This window comes from Homo sapiens, chromosome 7, assembly GCF_000001405.40.
Source record: "Homo sapiens chromosome 7, GRCh38.p14 Primary Assembly".
NCBI classification, from domain to species: domain Eukaryota; kingdom Metazoa; phylum Chordata; class Mammalia; order Primates; family Hominidae; genus Homo; species Homo sapiens.
The window spans coordinates 35,748,476-35,764,495 of NC_000007.14; the positions used below are offsets into that span (position 1 = coordinate 35,748,476).

The 16,020-nt window shown below is 39.7% G+C and overlaps 1 long non-coding RNA gene across 2 annotated transcripts in view; it reads right to left on the reverse strand.

Moving 5' to 3' along the window:
- Window positions 1-6,488: 6,488 nt before the first annotated feature.
- SEPTIN7-DT (SEPTIN7 divergent transcript) overlaps window positions 6,489-16,020 on the reverse strand; it is a 45,662-nt gene continuing 36,130 nt past the window's right edge. Inside the window, exons 4-6 of one of the 2 annotated variants that reach the window (NR_120511.1) lie at window positions 9,704-9,798; window positions 7,258-7,342; window positions 6,489-6,720 (exon numbers count right to left, since the gene is read on the reverse strand). This is a non-coding gene — a long non-coding RNA (SEPTIN7 divergent transcript). The remainder of the gene's footprint in view (window positions 6,721-7,257; window positions 7,343-9,703; window positions 9,799-16,020) is intronic. The other variant, NR_120512.1, reaches the window with a different exon arrangement.

Consider the following 16,020-nt stretch of genomic DNA (forward strand, 5'->3'; position numbering starts at 1 on the left):
AAAAGAGAGGGCCTCCTTTACTTGAAATATCTTAGTCCAAGGATCTTCAAATATTCTGCTTACATAACCCCCAAAAGAATGTTGTAAAGCTATGTAACTCTTCACATATTTTAAGTTGACATCTAGCATTTTTCATCATAAGATAAAAATAAGATGATGATAGACTGTAATTGGGATAAATATTTCATGACAGTATTTGATAAAAGATATTTTAACTTCACAATAAATAAAATACCCCAAATCTGAAAGAAATCATCTAAAAATTTTATGAGCCAGTTTTATCCAATGTTTCTCAAAAAACTTGCTTGTGTTGTAAGACATTCCAGTTGACTTTAAGAGAATCAGCATCACTAATTCATACGGTTCAGCTATTCCAAATTCAGAGCTTTCCCCACAAAGACCAATTATTCCATTTCTAATGACAAGCTTCACCCTTAACAGAAATATGTATACAGGTCAGGCAAATAAAGGAAGCCCCATGGATGTAAGGCAACTTGATTAATAATAACTGAAGATTTCTCCATCAAACCAATATTTTGTTCTTGTTTTTTTTTTAACTTCTATATGTATCCACAAAAAATAAAAACCTTTTCCTAAACAGGCCAAATTACACTGCCACAGAACAAAAATATCTAATCCATATTAAAATGTCTCACATGTCCTTTATGGTTAGTTTTTCTAATCCAGGATTAAATCCTGGGCCATATACTGCATCTGGTGTTATATCCCATAAGTCTCTTTTAATCTAGAACATGCATTCTTAACCCGGGGGTGGGAGGGTGATATTATCCCCCAGGGAGTGAAAATTGGTTCTTGAGGAATGAAAAAAAAATGCACTATTTTTTATGTACAAAGCACAGATATATGTATAGTACGTAACCTGTATGTTTACAGTATATACACATATACCTGTGGTATTTTCATGAATAATTAAGGGAAAAATGTCTAAAAAGATTCCTTTTAAATGTATGGGGTGCAATAATGAAGAGAGGTTGAGAAATACTGGTCTAGAAGAATCCCTCTTTCATGACACTTATGGATTGATGAGGCCCCCAAATCAACATTTCAATATACCCACTTGTTTCATTCACAGGGGAAGTTTTCATAGCCTGGGGCAATATTCCTTCATAAGATTTGGGATGAGAGAGGTGGCAGATGTGGAAATGTGCTGCTCAGATCCCCCTGCAAGAAAGGCTGTCTCCTTAGCTGGGAGGAGTGTGGCTAGCAGACACCCTCCAGCTGTTACGTTCCTCAGGATCTGCCTCAGCTTTCCAGCCAAGGTCATGCTCTTCTTGGGGCAGCCTCAGGCAATAACTGAAAAACAGCTGATGTACATGGGCTTGGCCATTTCCACCCAACAGGAGAACTTCTAAGATGCAATCTTGGCTCTGGAGCTTCCCCACTGAGCTGGCCAACTTTGTGGGGTCTGCGTTACAGTCAGACAACTCCAGCTGCCTAACCCTGCTCTCCCCCTCATTTCCCAGATGTCACTCCCCAATAAAACACTGGTATTCCTAACTCTCTCTCTCTCTCTCTCTCTCTCTCTCTCTCTCTCTCTCTCTCTGTCAGCATCTTCTTCCTGGAGAACCAAACTGGTACAGTGAGGGCAAACATGGGCTTATAGATCAGTGTTAGGAAACAGTAGACAGGAGATGGAAGATCTAGGAAATGGTCTCCTTAAAATTATCTGTAGTCTTAAAGTCTTCACTTACCAAAGGTGTAGGAGATCAGTCAAGGTTCAATTAGAGAAGTAGAATACTAGGAGATAGATAGGTAGGTAGGTAGGTAGGTAGGTAGGTAGGTAGGTAGGTAGGTAGATAGATAGACAGATAGATAGACAGACAGGTAGATAGATTGATATAGTAGGGCATTTATTATAGGGATTTGATCTTATTCATTTGGGGGAGCTTGTTACTTACTCTGTGTGAGGCCATCGCATCTGTGTTTGGTGCTGAAGCCTGAAATCCTCAGAGAAGGCATTTGGGAAAGAGAGATGTCTGTGAAGTTGGGGAAACAGGCAAACTGGAACCCACGAGGACGGACTGGAATCTGCATTCATATCCTACTGCTTTCAAGCTGCCAACTTCAATGGTCAGGTACTCTCTAGGAGAAGCTGGTGTCCTTCGTCATGGAGGACATGTTGGGTCTGGAAGTCAGAGAGGCTGGAGAAGTTGCAGGCGTGGCTACTGTTCCACACCACAATGCAAGTCAACAGGTAAGGAACAACATGAATGAGATGCAACAGCACCTGTGACCTGCACCAACCTTTCAGGTGTAAAAAATGTATGTCTGCTACTTCACTGCTTTACTTTTGCTTTCTAAATCTCACACAAAGCTAGGTATGGTGGCTCACACCTATAATCTCAGCACTTTAGGAGGCTAAGGCAGAGAAGGGAATTTTGGGTGCCATAGTTTTAGTTTAGCTGAGTTGATACACAAATCCACCCAATGGGGGTTTCCATATCCTGTTTAAGAATCACTGACTTAAATAACAAAGGGCTAGAGAGCCCTTCTAAAAGTTGTGCTTGGGAGTTTAGGATTAAATGTATAGCCTCGTTGCATATCCTGAGAGTAAAGCCTTCAGTCTTACAGGCCTGGGTTTGAGGGGCTGATGGCTGCTAACCTCTCTGAATTTCAAGGTCTTCATTCATAAAAGGGCAATAATACCTACTTTGCAGGATTCTGTGAGGATTGCATTGTGGCAGCACACACAAAGTCCAGATACATAGTGCTTAATTAAGGGCAACTATTATTTCAAGGGTGTCTTATAGCTTTCAGGTTAATACAATCACGCTAAGATTTTAGATCTGCTGAACCTTTAGAGGCTTATACAAGCCAAAGACTGGCTAAGCCACAGGTTAGAACTCATGGAACCATCAGCTTACACCCCCTAAAACCAGAGTTCTCCATGTCCTTGAGTTGTGTGAGTAGGAGGGAAAAGTCTGATAGTCCCAATTGGTTAGACTTTGATTGATGAATGCCATCAATGGCTGCAGGTCAAAGGCAGCAGTCAATAGGAAACCATGCTTCATGTTGCTATTGCAGTTCAGCATTTCCTAAAGGCAGATGCCTCCTTCCTGGTCCTTCATGCCTCAAAGAGTTGGAATCGACCTGATAATCATGGAGGCAAATAAAATTGTGATAGATGGAAAAAGGCCATTTCTGTCCTGTCATAATTTGATTCTCTCCACCCCCTGCTCTCTTACTCCAATATATAACTTAAGGGCCACAGATATACTTCATGATTAAGAGTGCACTTGGTCCTGAATTAGTCAAGACTATGGTTGCAAGAAACAGAAACCCAAGTTGAACCAGTTATAAACAAAGAAATAAGAAAGAAAGAAATAGAAGGAAGAAAGGAAGGAAGGAAGGAGTAAGGTTATGATTGTTTAAATATTTATTTTTTAATTTTGTGTTTTATTGATACATAACATGTACATATTTTGGGGGTACTATGACAATTTAAAACATTCATATGCCTTGTAAAGATAAAATCAGTGTAACTGAGATTCCCATCACCTTAAATATTTGTGTTTTCTTTATGCTAGAAACATTCTAATTCTTCTCTTCTAGCTATATTGAAATATACAATAGATTATTGTAAACTATAGTCATACTACTGACTGATGAAATACTAGGTCTTATTTCTTCTATCATACTGTATATACATACCCATTAATCAATCTCTCTTCATCCCTCTCCCTGCTAAGGTTACGATTTATTGAATATTTGGCACAAGTAATGGGTAGTTGTAGTCTAGGGGAAGTAGACCTTGCAGACCTTGGTGGGGATTGCAGGGACTTAGCAGTACAGTCAGATCTCTCTCTCTCTCTCTCTCTCTCTCTCTCTCTCTCTCTCTCTCTCATTCTCTCCTCCGCTTTTCTCTGTGCAGGGGATGCATTCCTACATTCTTTCCTACTACAGATGAGCTTGCTCATCTTGCTGTGGAGAGGAAGTGGAGCATGGTCCAGACAAGCACTGGTTTTGTCATCGCTGTCTAGTAACATCAGAGAAGAAAGCTTCCTTTTCCCAAAGTCTACATATAAATTCCCAGGGAAAGGCTCTTTCTGGCTCAATTTGATGTAGCCAAGTGGGTGGTGACTATGGTTGGTCAAGCCTGGATCTCATACTCACCCTGTAGACTGAAGACTGGTTTGGCTGTCCACTAAAACCTTAAGGAGAAGAGGTAGAACCTTTCTCTCCAATGAAATAAGGTGTTGTACTGGAAGACAGGTGGGAGAGGAGCTGCTGAACAGACACAATCGACAGGTGTCCATTACAGATCCTTCATGTCTCAAGATTTTGTTTTGTTTTCCAACAAAAGTCTCTGAAAACAGAGGACATTTACAATTGCAAAAGAAAAACTCTTTGTTGACAGAAAGAGGAGAATGTGTACAGATGACAGAAGCTGCATAAATAGGCTGTCATCAAAGCTCTCTTGGAGAGTGCATCATCTCCTCATGACTTCAGGTATTTAATCTCCATATGACTCTCATATATACTTCTCCCAGCCTCTAATCCTCAGGGGATAAGAGTAGCGCCGACCTCATAGGGCTTCTGTGAGAACTATTTTGAGTGAATGCAAGTAAAACACACAGTACAGAGCCTGATGCATAGAAAGCTTTTTTATAAATAAAAATAATTTTGTATATTTATGTACTACACCAATCCTCAGGACACACTGAGGGCTATTTGCTGCAAATACCTACAACATTCTGCTTAGGGTTATTTTTCCGGCACAGGGAGACCGTTTTGGAGAGTTAATGCCCCTCAAATAAATTCTCAATTGACAAGAATTAGTGGATAAATACTTCGACTTCCTGATCCCTAGGCAGGACTACATTGAGACATCTTCTATACTCTCTTCCAGTGTCTCCAGCATGACTGCTCTCCAACTGATTCCTTTGAGAACATGCCCTTTATTTTTTTGCTTCCTTTCTTTCCCTGTCATACTGCCCCACTCTCCTGCCGGTGTTTCCTGAAATCACCTCCTCAATAAGTGGTGTGCATTTAAATCTTCATCTCAGGATCTGCCTATAGGGAACCTTAAACTAGGACAATAAAATATATGAAAGAATGTGCACCACATTGTCTGCCATCATCATCCTACGACTGGTAGGATTGTAAGTTATTATCCTTTTTGTTATCTATATTTAAAGCATTTCCACAATGAACACAGACACCAACTAATTGATGATTGAAACAATCTAAAATCTTAAACCGGATTTTTAATCTCTGCAGGACCCGACCAACTTTTTCTTCTACCTACTTCTAACTCTGTATTCACAACAAACAAGTCTTCTTACTTTTGGACCCACTAAGTCCATTCCTCTCTCCAGGCCTCTACACATACTTGACCTAGCATTTTCTATTACTCTTATCTCTTCCACAAGGCCTCCCCTGACTCACTCAGCCCATGATGCCAGTTTACATTCATTTCGTCTACATATCATTTAATCAGCATTATCAGTTCTTCCCATACCCTGCACTACTTTAAAGAGATATGTGTGTAAAGTACTTCTTTGCCATATGGGTCTCTCAAGTTTCTAGAACATTTGGATCAGACATAGAACCACTTTCCACGTGAAAATGGCATTACACCAATTCAAGATAAAATGCTCCCCACAAAATTATTCAAGATAATATCTGAGCTGCATCTGCTGTTTCAGTCTGTAACAAAGGGTCTTTTTACAGGACAGCAGCAGTGGGGAGGAGAAATGGAGAGAAACAGAAGCTGCCTCTGATGTACTGATTCTACCACACATAAATGATCTTTTCATGAGCCAATTAGGAGAGAAGGAAAGACAAAAAGCATTCTTGACTTAGGAATGGAATAGTCGCTCCTCCTCGGTGCCTGATTCAGTTATTTAGAATGGCTTTCTTACGGCTGGGCCTCTTGTGAATTATGAGTCTCTCTCTCTGTCTTCCCCCCCAGGCTTCATATTAAAGACAAGACACAGCTGCCAAGGCCTCCAGAGATTTCCCAGCAGTCTACTATGGTGAAATAAAACACCATGTTATGCTGGACAACTAGCCTGTCGTTTCTGCACCATGGGCTGTGCTATTCTCACGGCCAAGATAAAAAATCCCAGGCCCTGGACACTTACTGCTTCTCTTGAGATTTGTGGCTTGATCTTCTAGATAGTACTCGATTTTGTGTGTGTGTTCCAGCTTCCCTGCATGATATTGATAATTATCTTCTAAAGGGATTGGATATGTTTGTATAATATACGTATACTCCTCCTTCTTGAAATACTGTCTTGAAGGAGGGCATTTGGTTACCATTAAAGCAACTATTTTGCTTCCAAGTGGTAAGAAGTTCTGTGGCCCTGGTGCCACAGATGACTTGGGACTTTGACAGGGTTGTGATCGTCCCTATAGGCATGTTTTGTGTCATTACTACCAGAAGGATTGCATTATACAAATGGGCTGAGGTTTGTACATAATGATTGGTTGAACTGCTTCTGATGTTGCAATCTCAGCTTTATCTGCCTCAGAGTAAATGGAGCCAGCTGAAATAGGTCTGTAACCCTGCATGGAGATTTGGAGTATACTAGTGAAATGTTGGGAAGGTGTCAAATTGGAGACTATTTTTAGTTAAATGGTTTACACCCTAGTAGAGAACAAGACAGAAGGCACACATGATGCTCCACCTTCATATTTTGATTTCAGTCTTCAAATAATAGGATAAATTTCAAATCCCAGCAGTCTTACATGAGCCTATAGTAAAGGAGAAGAAGAATCTCAGAAATTAAAAAGTTCTTCATACTGATGACAGGAGCTCTCCAAGTGTTGACAAACAGCCCTCCCCACACATTCCTTTCTTCCTCTCCCATTTTATCCTAATTATAAGCTAGCAAATAGGATAAAGGAAGATACCGCTCCCTATTGGATATACCTGTGTTCAGAAATCTTTACTAAACTAAAATCATCAGAATCCAATTTCTTTCTAACCTAACTATCTGCATGGTGTAAATGGGAGGGTAGGTAAGGATCTAATTAGTGATACAAATGTCATTTGTATATTCAATCAGACAAACAGATCCCTTTGGGAGTACACAAATAAAATCCCAAACAGTAGAATTTACCAACTGAAGGACAAAAAAGAGTCTTGTTTATTTTTCTATTTTTTATGCAATAGGTAGGTGCTCAGTAAATATAGTTGGGTTCGATTATGAAATTGAAAACATCCATGCCCACTTTGAAGAAAATAATCTGAAAGGAAATTATCAAATGCCATGAATATGTAAATTATACCTTGAACCACTTCTCTGCTTCTCAATTGTGAGGCCAAAATGCTTCCCACGTATAACTCACTAATTTTTACAAGTTGTAATAGTCCCTGCAGGAAGAGAAATAGCAATTGCCATTGTTCCATTTGACAGATATGAGAACTAAAGTACAAGCTGTTAAGCCAGGGATGGTGACTCAGTGAGTAAGAGTCAGAGTAGAATGATATGAGACTGGGACAGAGGGAGCAGAAATGCTGCCTAGAATTTACTCTGGGGCTCCTATTCTAACTCCTTGCGTCCTTTGACCAGATAACAACTTAGGAACCCCTGGCATTGCACTGTCGTACACCAGGAGAAGCTTCCCCTGCCATCACAAGGGCAGAGGAAACAGCCAAATTCCAGGACTCACGTAGAGCAGGGGCTCTGTTTTGCTTATCATGGTGGGCCCACCTTCACCCTCATTCCCCAGTGCTACCTAATTCAGCACTTGCATTGGCCCTAGCAAACAAGGATCAGATGACAGGATGAATCAATGAAGGCCTTGTGACTCCCATTTTTGGTGTTCAACCCATTAAATCAATATTTCTTAAAACAAGCTGGTCATGGTGGCACATGCCTATAATCCCAGGGACTCAGGAGGCTGAAGCAAAAGGATAGCTTGAGGACAGGAGTTCAAGACCAGCCTCAGCAACATAAAGAGACCCTGTCTCTACAAAAAGTAAAAAGAAAAACATTAGTCAATCTGGTAGTCCCAGCTCCTCTGGAGGTTGAGTCAGGAGGATTGCTTGGGCCCAGGCGTTTGAGGCTGCTTTGAGTTATGATTGCTGCCCCACACTCCAGCCTGGGTGACAGAGGGAGAGAAAGAAGGAAGGAAGGAAGGAAGGAAGGAAGGAAGGAAGGAAGGAAGGAAGGAAGGAAGGGGAAAGAAGGAGAAAGAAGGAAAGAAAAGAAAGAAAGAAGGAAAGAAAGAAAGAAAAAGAAAGAAAGAAAAGAAAGAAAGAGAGAGAAAGAAAGAGAGAAAGGAAAATAAAGAAAAAAAATTTCTTAGGACATTACAGTCTATCCCTTTAGAAGAGAAAATGCCCCATAGCATCGCCTGCCTGCAATCATTCCTGCAGAAACAGCAAAAAGACTTTCTACATCTCAAGGAATCACATGCCTCCGGTTCTAGTGATGCTCCTTTCCAATAAAACAAATACTCCCTAAGCAGATAAATAAATAATCAAACACAAATAAATGTCATACATGAGGAAAGGTCTTCCATAAGTTTTGAAATAAGGAAGTTACAAAACAGCACATTCTCTGGGCTAAGGGCTGTTAAATGTACTATCCCATTTGATCCTCATAAAAACCTTGTGAGGTAGATATTCTTTTATTACTTCTGTTTTTGAGGCGGGGTCTCGCTCTGTTGCCCAGGCTGGAGTGCAGTGGTGTGATCTTGGCTCACTGTAGCCTCAAACTCCTGTGCTCAAGCAATCCTCCCACCTCAGCCTCCTGAGTAGCTGGGACCAGTGGTGCACACCCGGCTAATTTTCACATTTTTTCTGCAGAGACAGGGTTTTGCCATGTTGCCCAGGGTGGTCTCGAACTCCTGAGCTCAAACAATCTACCCGCTTCAGCCTCCCAAAGTGCTTGGATTATAGCCATAAGCCACTGCACCTGGCCTCTTTTTATTCTTATTTTACAGATAAGGAAACTGAGACTTAGGTTAAGTAATGCCCAGAATCACACAGCTTGAAAAATATTTAAAACCCAATCTGTTTGAATTCAGAACATGGCATTTTACTCCTCTCTCTGGTTCTTGCTCCCACCCTGGCTTCTTGTCTCCTTTCCCCCCCTTTCTTCTCCTTTTCCTCAATTTCTGTATATCTCTCTCTCCCTCTTTTTCTCTTTCTCTCTCTCTCCTTTACCATGTAAGTTTATCTATGCATAGCTTTCTTCACATTCTCCAGGGTTTCCATAACCCACAAAACTTTCATTGCCAGGAAGCTTTGCCAGTCCCAGACTCAAAGGCCAAGCAGGGTATCTGATATTCCAGCTACGAGGCTGTTGACTAAGGTCACTGCCCCACTACTGGGCATATCCCACACTCACACATTCTGCCAAGTTGGGACTGTAAATGCATTTCGTCACATGGATGTGAAAATGGCAATTATAAAAGCAGTATTTAGAAATGGCTTCCACTTAGATTTTGGTCAACTAGTTTGTATAAACATGTACTATCAATATAAATAATTTGCATCAGAGAGGTACGTGGCCTCTTCTGTAGAAACATTCTTCATGCTCCAGAAATTGTGTCATCAAAACATTATCCAGGTAGCAGTTAACTTCCTTTGATTCAACATGTAGATACATACTTCATAGCTAATATTTTGAGTAATGACTGTACAAACATATGCCTAGTGGTTCACATCCATAATCTCATTTAACCAAGGCTTACAGGGTTAAATAACAGCCCAATTGTCACTTACTAAGTTGCAGAGCCATTTCTCCAATAAAGGTGGGCCTCCTGTCAGGATCTAAGTTCTCAACCCTTCTGCTCTCAGTGACAAATATAGGGCCATCCCTGTGGAAGATAAAAATGAAATGGCTCAGTCAAACAACATAGAATCCATTAACAAACATTTTTTAAAAGGTTTACAAACATAATAATAAAGGACAGAATGCAACCTAATAGCACCTTCTTGTCCAACAGATAAGAAGTAGTAATGATATCTTAGAGCAGACCTTTAATTTGTGAGGGATGCTTTTTAAGAGAACTTAGAGAAAAGAGGAAACCACAGAGCATACTCAGAGGCAGGCAACTCTCCAAACAATTACTTCTGCAGAGTCGAGTCAAGACTGAGTTGAGACTGATGGGGTAAAAGTCCAGAAAGTCAGTGATGGGGGTGGGTTTAAAACTTGTATGCATCTGGAGATAAAGAGGTCAGAAGGGCTGAGGAAAGATTAGAGTTAATGACCCACATGGACTAGAAATCCTCTGGCAGTAAGTAACCCCTGACACCAGGGGGTGGCTGATACAATCAGAACAGGACAGACACCGAGAAGTCAAAAACTAACCATTAGTAAATACAATAGGGCTTTTGAAGGCCAAGACTCCTCCTTGCTTTATTTATTTATTTATTGCTATAGATCATTTACTTAATACACGATAGTTCTTAGGATAGTACACACTGTTAACTTATAATCATTATTAGGTTGAGAGAGAAAAACACAAATTAAACATCACACACAAATTAAAGATCTGTTCTCTTTAACAAATCATGACTACTCTTTATCTGTTGGGCTGAGAATGTAATATTAGGTTGTATTCTGTCCCTTATTGTTATATTTGTAAAGTTTGTATACAAAAAGAGAAGATTCTCCCAAACTATTTTCTTTAGATACCTGACTGGAGGAGTTGGGAAGGAGTCAATGCCAGTAATTAATTGCCATTTTTTTTTTTTTAAGACAGAGTCTCGTTCTGCTGCCGAGGCTGGAGTGCAATGGCGCAGTCTTGGCTCACTGCGACCTCCACTTCCCAGGTTCAAGCAATTATCCTGCCTCAGTTTCCCAAGTACCTGGGATTACAGGCATGCGCCACCTCACCTGGCTATTTTTTTTATTTTTAGTAGACATGGGGTTTCACTATGTTGGCCAGGCTGGTCTCAAACTCCTGACCTCAGGTGATCTGCCCACCTTGGCCTCCCAAAGTGCTGGGATTACAGGTATGAGCCATCACGCCTGGCCTTGATTGCCATTTTTGAAGGGTTGAAATCACTCTGTCATGATCTAATCTCCAACAGTTTTTAAATGACCATAAACTCCAGTCACACTGGCGATGGAGTGGTCTCTCTACCAAAATCCTACTTTTAATAATGTCTATCCATCTTTACTTTCAAACATTTTAAAAATCTGGGGGCCGAGCGTGGTGGCTCACGCCTGTAATCCCTGCATTTTGGGAGGCTGAGGTGGGTGGATCACGAGGTCAGGAGTTCAAGACCAGCCTGGCCAAGATGGTGAAACCCCGTCTCTACTAAAAATACAAAAATTAGCCAGGCATGGTGGCAGGCACCTGTAATCCAGCTACTCGGGAGGCTGAGGCAGAAAACTGCTTGAACCCAGGAGGCGGAGGTTGCAGTGAGCTGAGATAGCGCCACTGCACTCCAGTCTGGGCAACACAGCAAGACTCTGTCTCAAAAAAAAAAAAAAAATTGGAAGAATGCAGAACCAGGGGGTTCCATAGCTTGGTGGAACAGTTGCAAGGCTTGACTTCCTTCGATAAGTGTTCATCAAAGACTGATTTTTCCAAATGAGGAGACTTATTCTGCTCATTTCCTGCCTGCAGTCACATCTCCTAGTTGGGGTGCTGCATGGAATGGTAAAAGCTATAATGCAAATATTTCTCAGAAAAAGAAGTGCATTTGTACTCCATTTGCCCTTTAAGGGTTATCTGATTTCAATCATCTTTTTCCAAAAAATCTTGCTAGAACTTGCAAAGTTCTAATAGAAATTGGTATGAAGCAGTCAGGCAATGGCAAGTACAAGAGGGAAAAAATGAAGAGTCTTGACTTTGAAAAGTATTTACATACATTCCAGAGCATTCTAAACACATGAAGAATAAACTTAGCAGGGAAAGGCATTCCATGCCTAAAATTGTGTCTTTGAAACTAGGATCTGAGTGGAAGAAATAAGTTATGTTATTAATATATGGTGAGGAACAGAACAGAAATTGAAGGCGCAAATGAAGTGTTCGTGGAAGATTCGTGAGACAGAAGGGCAAATATACACCAAGTAGATACTTCTCCTACGGACACGCTTTGCAATTTGAGCATTTTTGAGCTTGCAATGGAATTTTAAAGCCATCCAGAAACAACAGATGTTTGAACCCAAATGATCCAACGTCTTGATGCCAAAATTAGGGCTCTGAAGAGGAACGTTAAGAGTTGGAGCACATGAAGAATAACTTCAGTAACTCTTCTCTAATGCAACAGTTGAAAGATTTATTCTATGGCTTGCTGACCTACCCTTTTATCTGTGCCCAATTATATTTGAAGTGATAAAAATCTCTGTCGAATGGGAGTATTAATAACTAAAATTCAAGTCTCTTTTCTAAATCTGACTTCAATCTCTTCTCTCTCCTCTTTGAGCATTCAATCTCTAAATCAAATTATGAAATCAGAAGGAGGGCCCTTCTGAACATTATCTATTCCCAAATTTTTGCATATGAAAACCAATAATAGATTATGGCTGTACTTACACAGCACAGGATTATCTAGCTAATTTAATAGTTGTAAGCAGCCAAGCCAGGTACTGTGAGCAAGCAAACAAAAACCAATCAACAGCAACTCCCACCAACAATGAACAACCAAACTGCATTTTGCAAGCTATTCTTTTTCCAGATTAAATCGGTAACTGATAAATGCTAAATCTCTGCTTTACTTGATTTTTTTATTTTTATTTTTGAGACAGGGTCATGCTCTGTTACCCAGGCTGAAGTGCAGTGGCATGATCATGGCTGACTGCAGCCTCTACCTCCTAGGCTCAAGCAATCCTCCCACCTCAGCCTTCCAAATAGCTGGGATCACAGGTGTGTGCCACTAGGCTTGGCCAATTTTTGTATTTTTTTTGTAGAGACAGGGTCTCCCTATGTTGCCCAGGCTGGTCTTGAACTCCTGGGCTCAAGCAATCTTCCTGCCTTGGCCTCCCAAAGTGCTGGGATTACTGGTGTGAGCCACCATGCCTAGATTGCTTTACTTGATTTAAAATGACATGTCATTTAATCCTAAAACAAGAACGTTATTTTTTCATTAGTTTGTTGGATTTTTTTTTCCTCCTGCCTCTCTGTTAAATAAGAAAATGCCATTTAGACATCAAATCACTTCATTCAGTTTCCAAAGAAACTTCTTACATATCTCATTTACCAAATAAACTTCCCTTCCTAGGGCCAGGCATAATGCCTCACACCTGTAATCCCAGCACTTTGAGAGGCCAAGGTGGGAAGATTGCTTGAGTCCAGGAGTTGAGGACCAGCCTGGGCAATATAGTGAGACCTCATCTTTAAAAATAAATAAATAAACACCAATGAAATTTCCCAGCCAGGTAGCAAGGTTTATTCGTTTCCAGAAAAAATGCAAGCATAAAGATATTTCTTAACTCAGTCACTCAAATGCTGTAAAATAGCACCTTTGGGGAGAAAGTGGCAGTATGATCATGGTTCTAAAAGGCAGCCAGGAACTCAAAATTGTAACAACATTTTAAAAATAGCGTCGCAGCTATGATTACAATTTAGCTCCATAGCACGTAAGCATGGTATGAACAGGAAATGGGAGTACATCTTCAGAGCCTGATAAGATTCACTAATGTAAGACATATGCTCTGTTTCTCAGCTTGCAAGCTAGGCCTAGCCAGAAAGAAGGAAAGCATACATGTTTATCTTTAACCTAAAGATCAAATTTATAAACCTTGGAAGATTTTTTGAATTGCTATTGAATTAAGTGATGAACTCGAGAAATGTGCAGCATAGATTCAATTGTGAATTTGAAAAATAAAGGTTTGAAGTAACTTCCAAAGGAAAATTAATTGTTAGCCATGCATCACAAGCCTGGGTTATCTCAGGGCAGCCTCAACAAGGCAGAACTTGTCCTTAGAGAAATGATTGCTAATCAAGGGGACATTCCTAACAAAAATATCTCCATTATCTATAAAAGACCAAAGTTGAGTTCACTAAGGATGGTATGTTTTAAGAACATTCTACAGTATCAATAATTATTCAGAGTTCTACTTAGAACAAGTAGAAATATGTCAGGATGCCTTTAATATGACTCATATTTTAGGAGGGAACTGATGGTTTACTTGTTTCCAGATTTATTTTAGAAAAAGTAGAAGATAGTGCAACATGGTTCAACAGTAGACACACAGCAGTACATTTAAGTACACACAAACTAATCAAATCACCCAATTTTACAGTCCATATTAAAGACAATGAAAAGGAGCCAAATATCAGTCTCTATCATCAAATACAAATTGGATTTATAATCCTTTGATATGGATCATGGTAAAGAAATGTTGACACATTTGGAAAACAACACCCCCTCCCACCCCCCACCAAAAGTATTATGATTTAGATTTCTAGCTTCTATTTCTTCACCAAAAAAGTCTAGGTTTTTCTGGTTATTCAGAATAAGAATAAATTCACTCGTTCCACAAATGTTTATTGAGGGCTTCCCATGCATGAAGCACTGTTGTAATTGCCAGAGATATAGCAGTGGGAAAGACAGATAAGGAGCTCACATGCTAGTACGAGACGTCAGCTAATAAATAAATAAACAAGAGTTCTTCAAGGGTAATTAGTGCTGTGAAGGGGATGAAAGAGTGATGTGTAGAGAAAGACAGAAAAGGTGGGGACTATTTTAAATAGGATGGTCAAGGAAAGGCTTGTCTGAGCTGAGACCTGAAGAGCAAGAAGCAAATAAGTGAATATACTGGGGAATGATCTGGAGAAGAGGCAAGAACCAGTGCAAAGTTCCTGAGGCAGTAACAGGCTTGACTTCTTCAAGGAACAGAAAAAAAGGCAGCAAGGTGATAATTAATGAGGAGAGGGAAAAAGATGAGCTTGGAAAGGCAGGCAGGGACCAGATCACATGGGACCTGTTGTACCTTGCTAACAGGTTGGGACTTTTTACGAACAATGAAAAGCCATTGAAGAATTTATATGAGTGAGTAATGTTTATCTGATTTATATATTATAATTAAAATAAAAATATCTGATCTGATTTTATTTTAATTATAAAATTTTTCAGGCATCTAAGAACTTACAGACAACAAGAAAAGGGATACCTTAAGAAATCAGATTCAGTTAAAATCCCCATGGTACTCTTTTCAGTCCTATTCTCCTCCCTCTTTAAAGGTAACTGCCATTCTAAACTTTATGCTTGTAATTTTCTTGCATGTTTTTGTGCTTTTACCACACATACTCATACATATCTATAAACAATATGTAGCACTGCCTTGCATGTTTTTAAACTTTATATGAATGGTACCATACTGTGCATATTCTTCTGTACTTGCTTTTTTACCTTCAGTATTATGTTGCTGAGATTTATCCATGCTCATTAATCCTTAGCAACTACTTAGCATTTTCTTGGATTAACATGTCGTGATTTCTCCATTCCTTGGTTGAAGGGCATTTATGTTGTTTTCAATGTTTTTGTTCATATCTCCCTGGGCAGACAATGGAAAATAGACAAGAGTAGAAATACATAAGCCAGTTAGAAGACTCTTCAGTAGCCCAGCAGAAAGCTAGTGGAGGCTAGGATTAAGAGAACAGCAATTGAGATGAAAAGAAATGGAGAAACTTAGTATACGTTTTGGAGATGCAGCTGATTGGACTTGCTGATGAATTTGATAGGCAAGAGGGGTTGCTGAGAGAAGGTGAAAAATCAAGGATGAATACTAATTTTTGGCCTTGAGCAATTTTAAAGGCATCTAAAGGCTGAAATCTAGAACTCTAAAAGGTGTTTTATGATGTCGTATTTTAATTACTTAAGGTTAGTGAAAATCTTATCTTACTTATACTTGCGTCTCCTCTAGTGCTTTGCAATGTATAATATTAGGTAACCCCAAAAATTTTGTTGAATGAATAATAGACTTTACAATTGCTTCTCTATGGTGCATAGGAATTATATTTAGATTTAGTCATATGACAATCTTGAATATTGTCAGAAAAAAAGTGAAATGATGCTAGATTTTATTAAAATAATGCAGGAATAAATCCATTTATCTTTGGGAGTTATTAATAAAGCAAGAT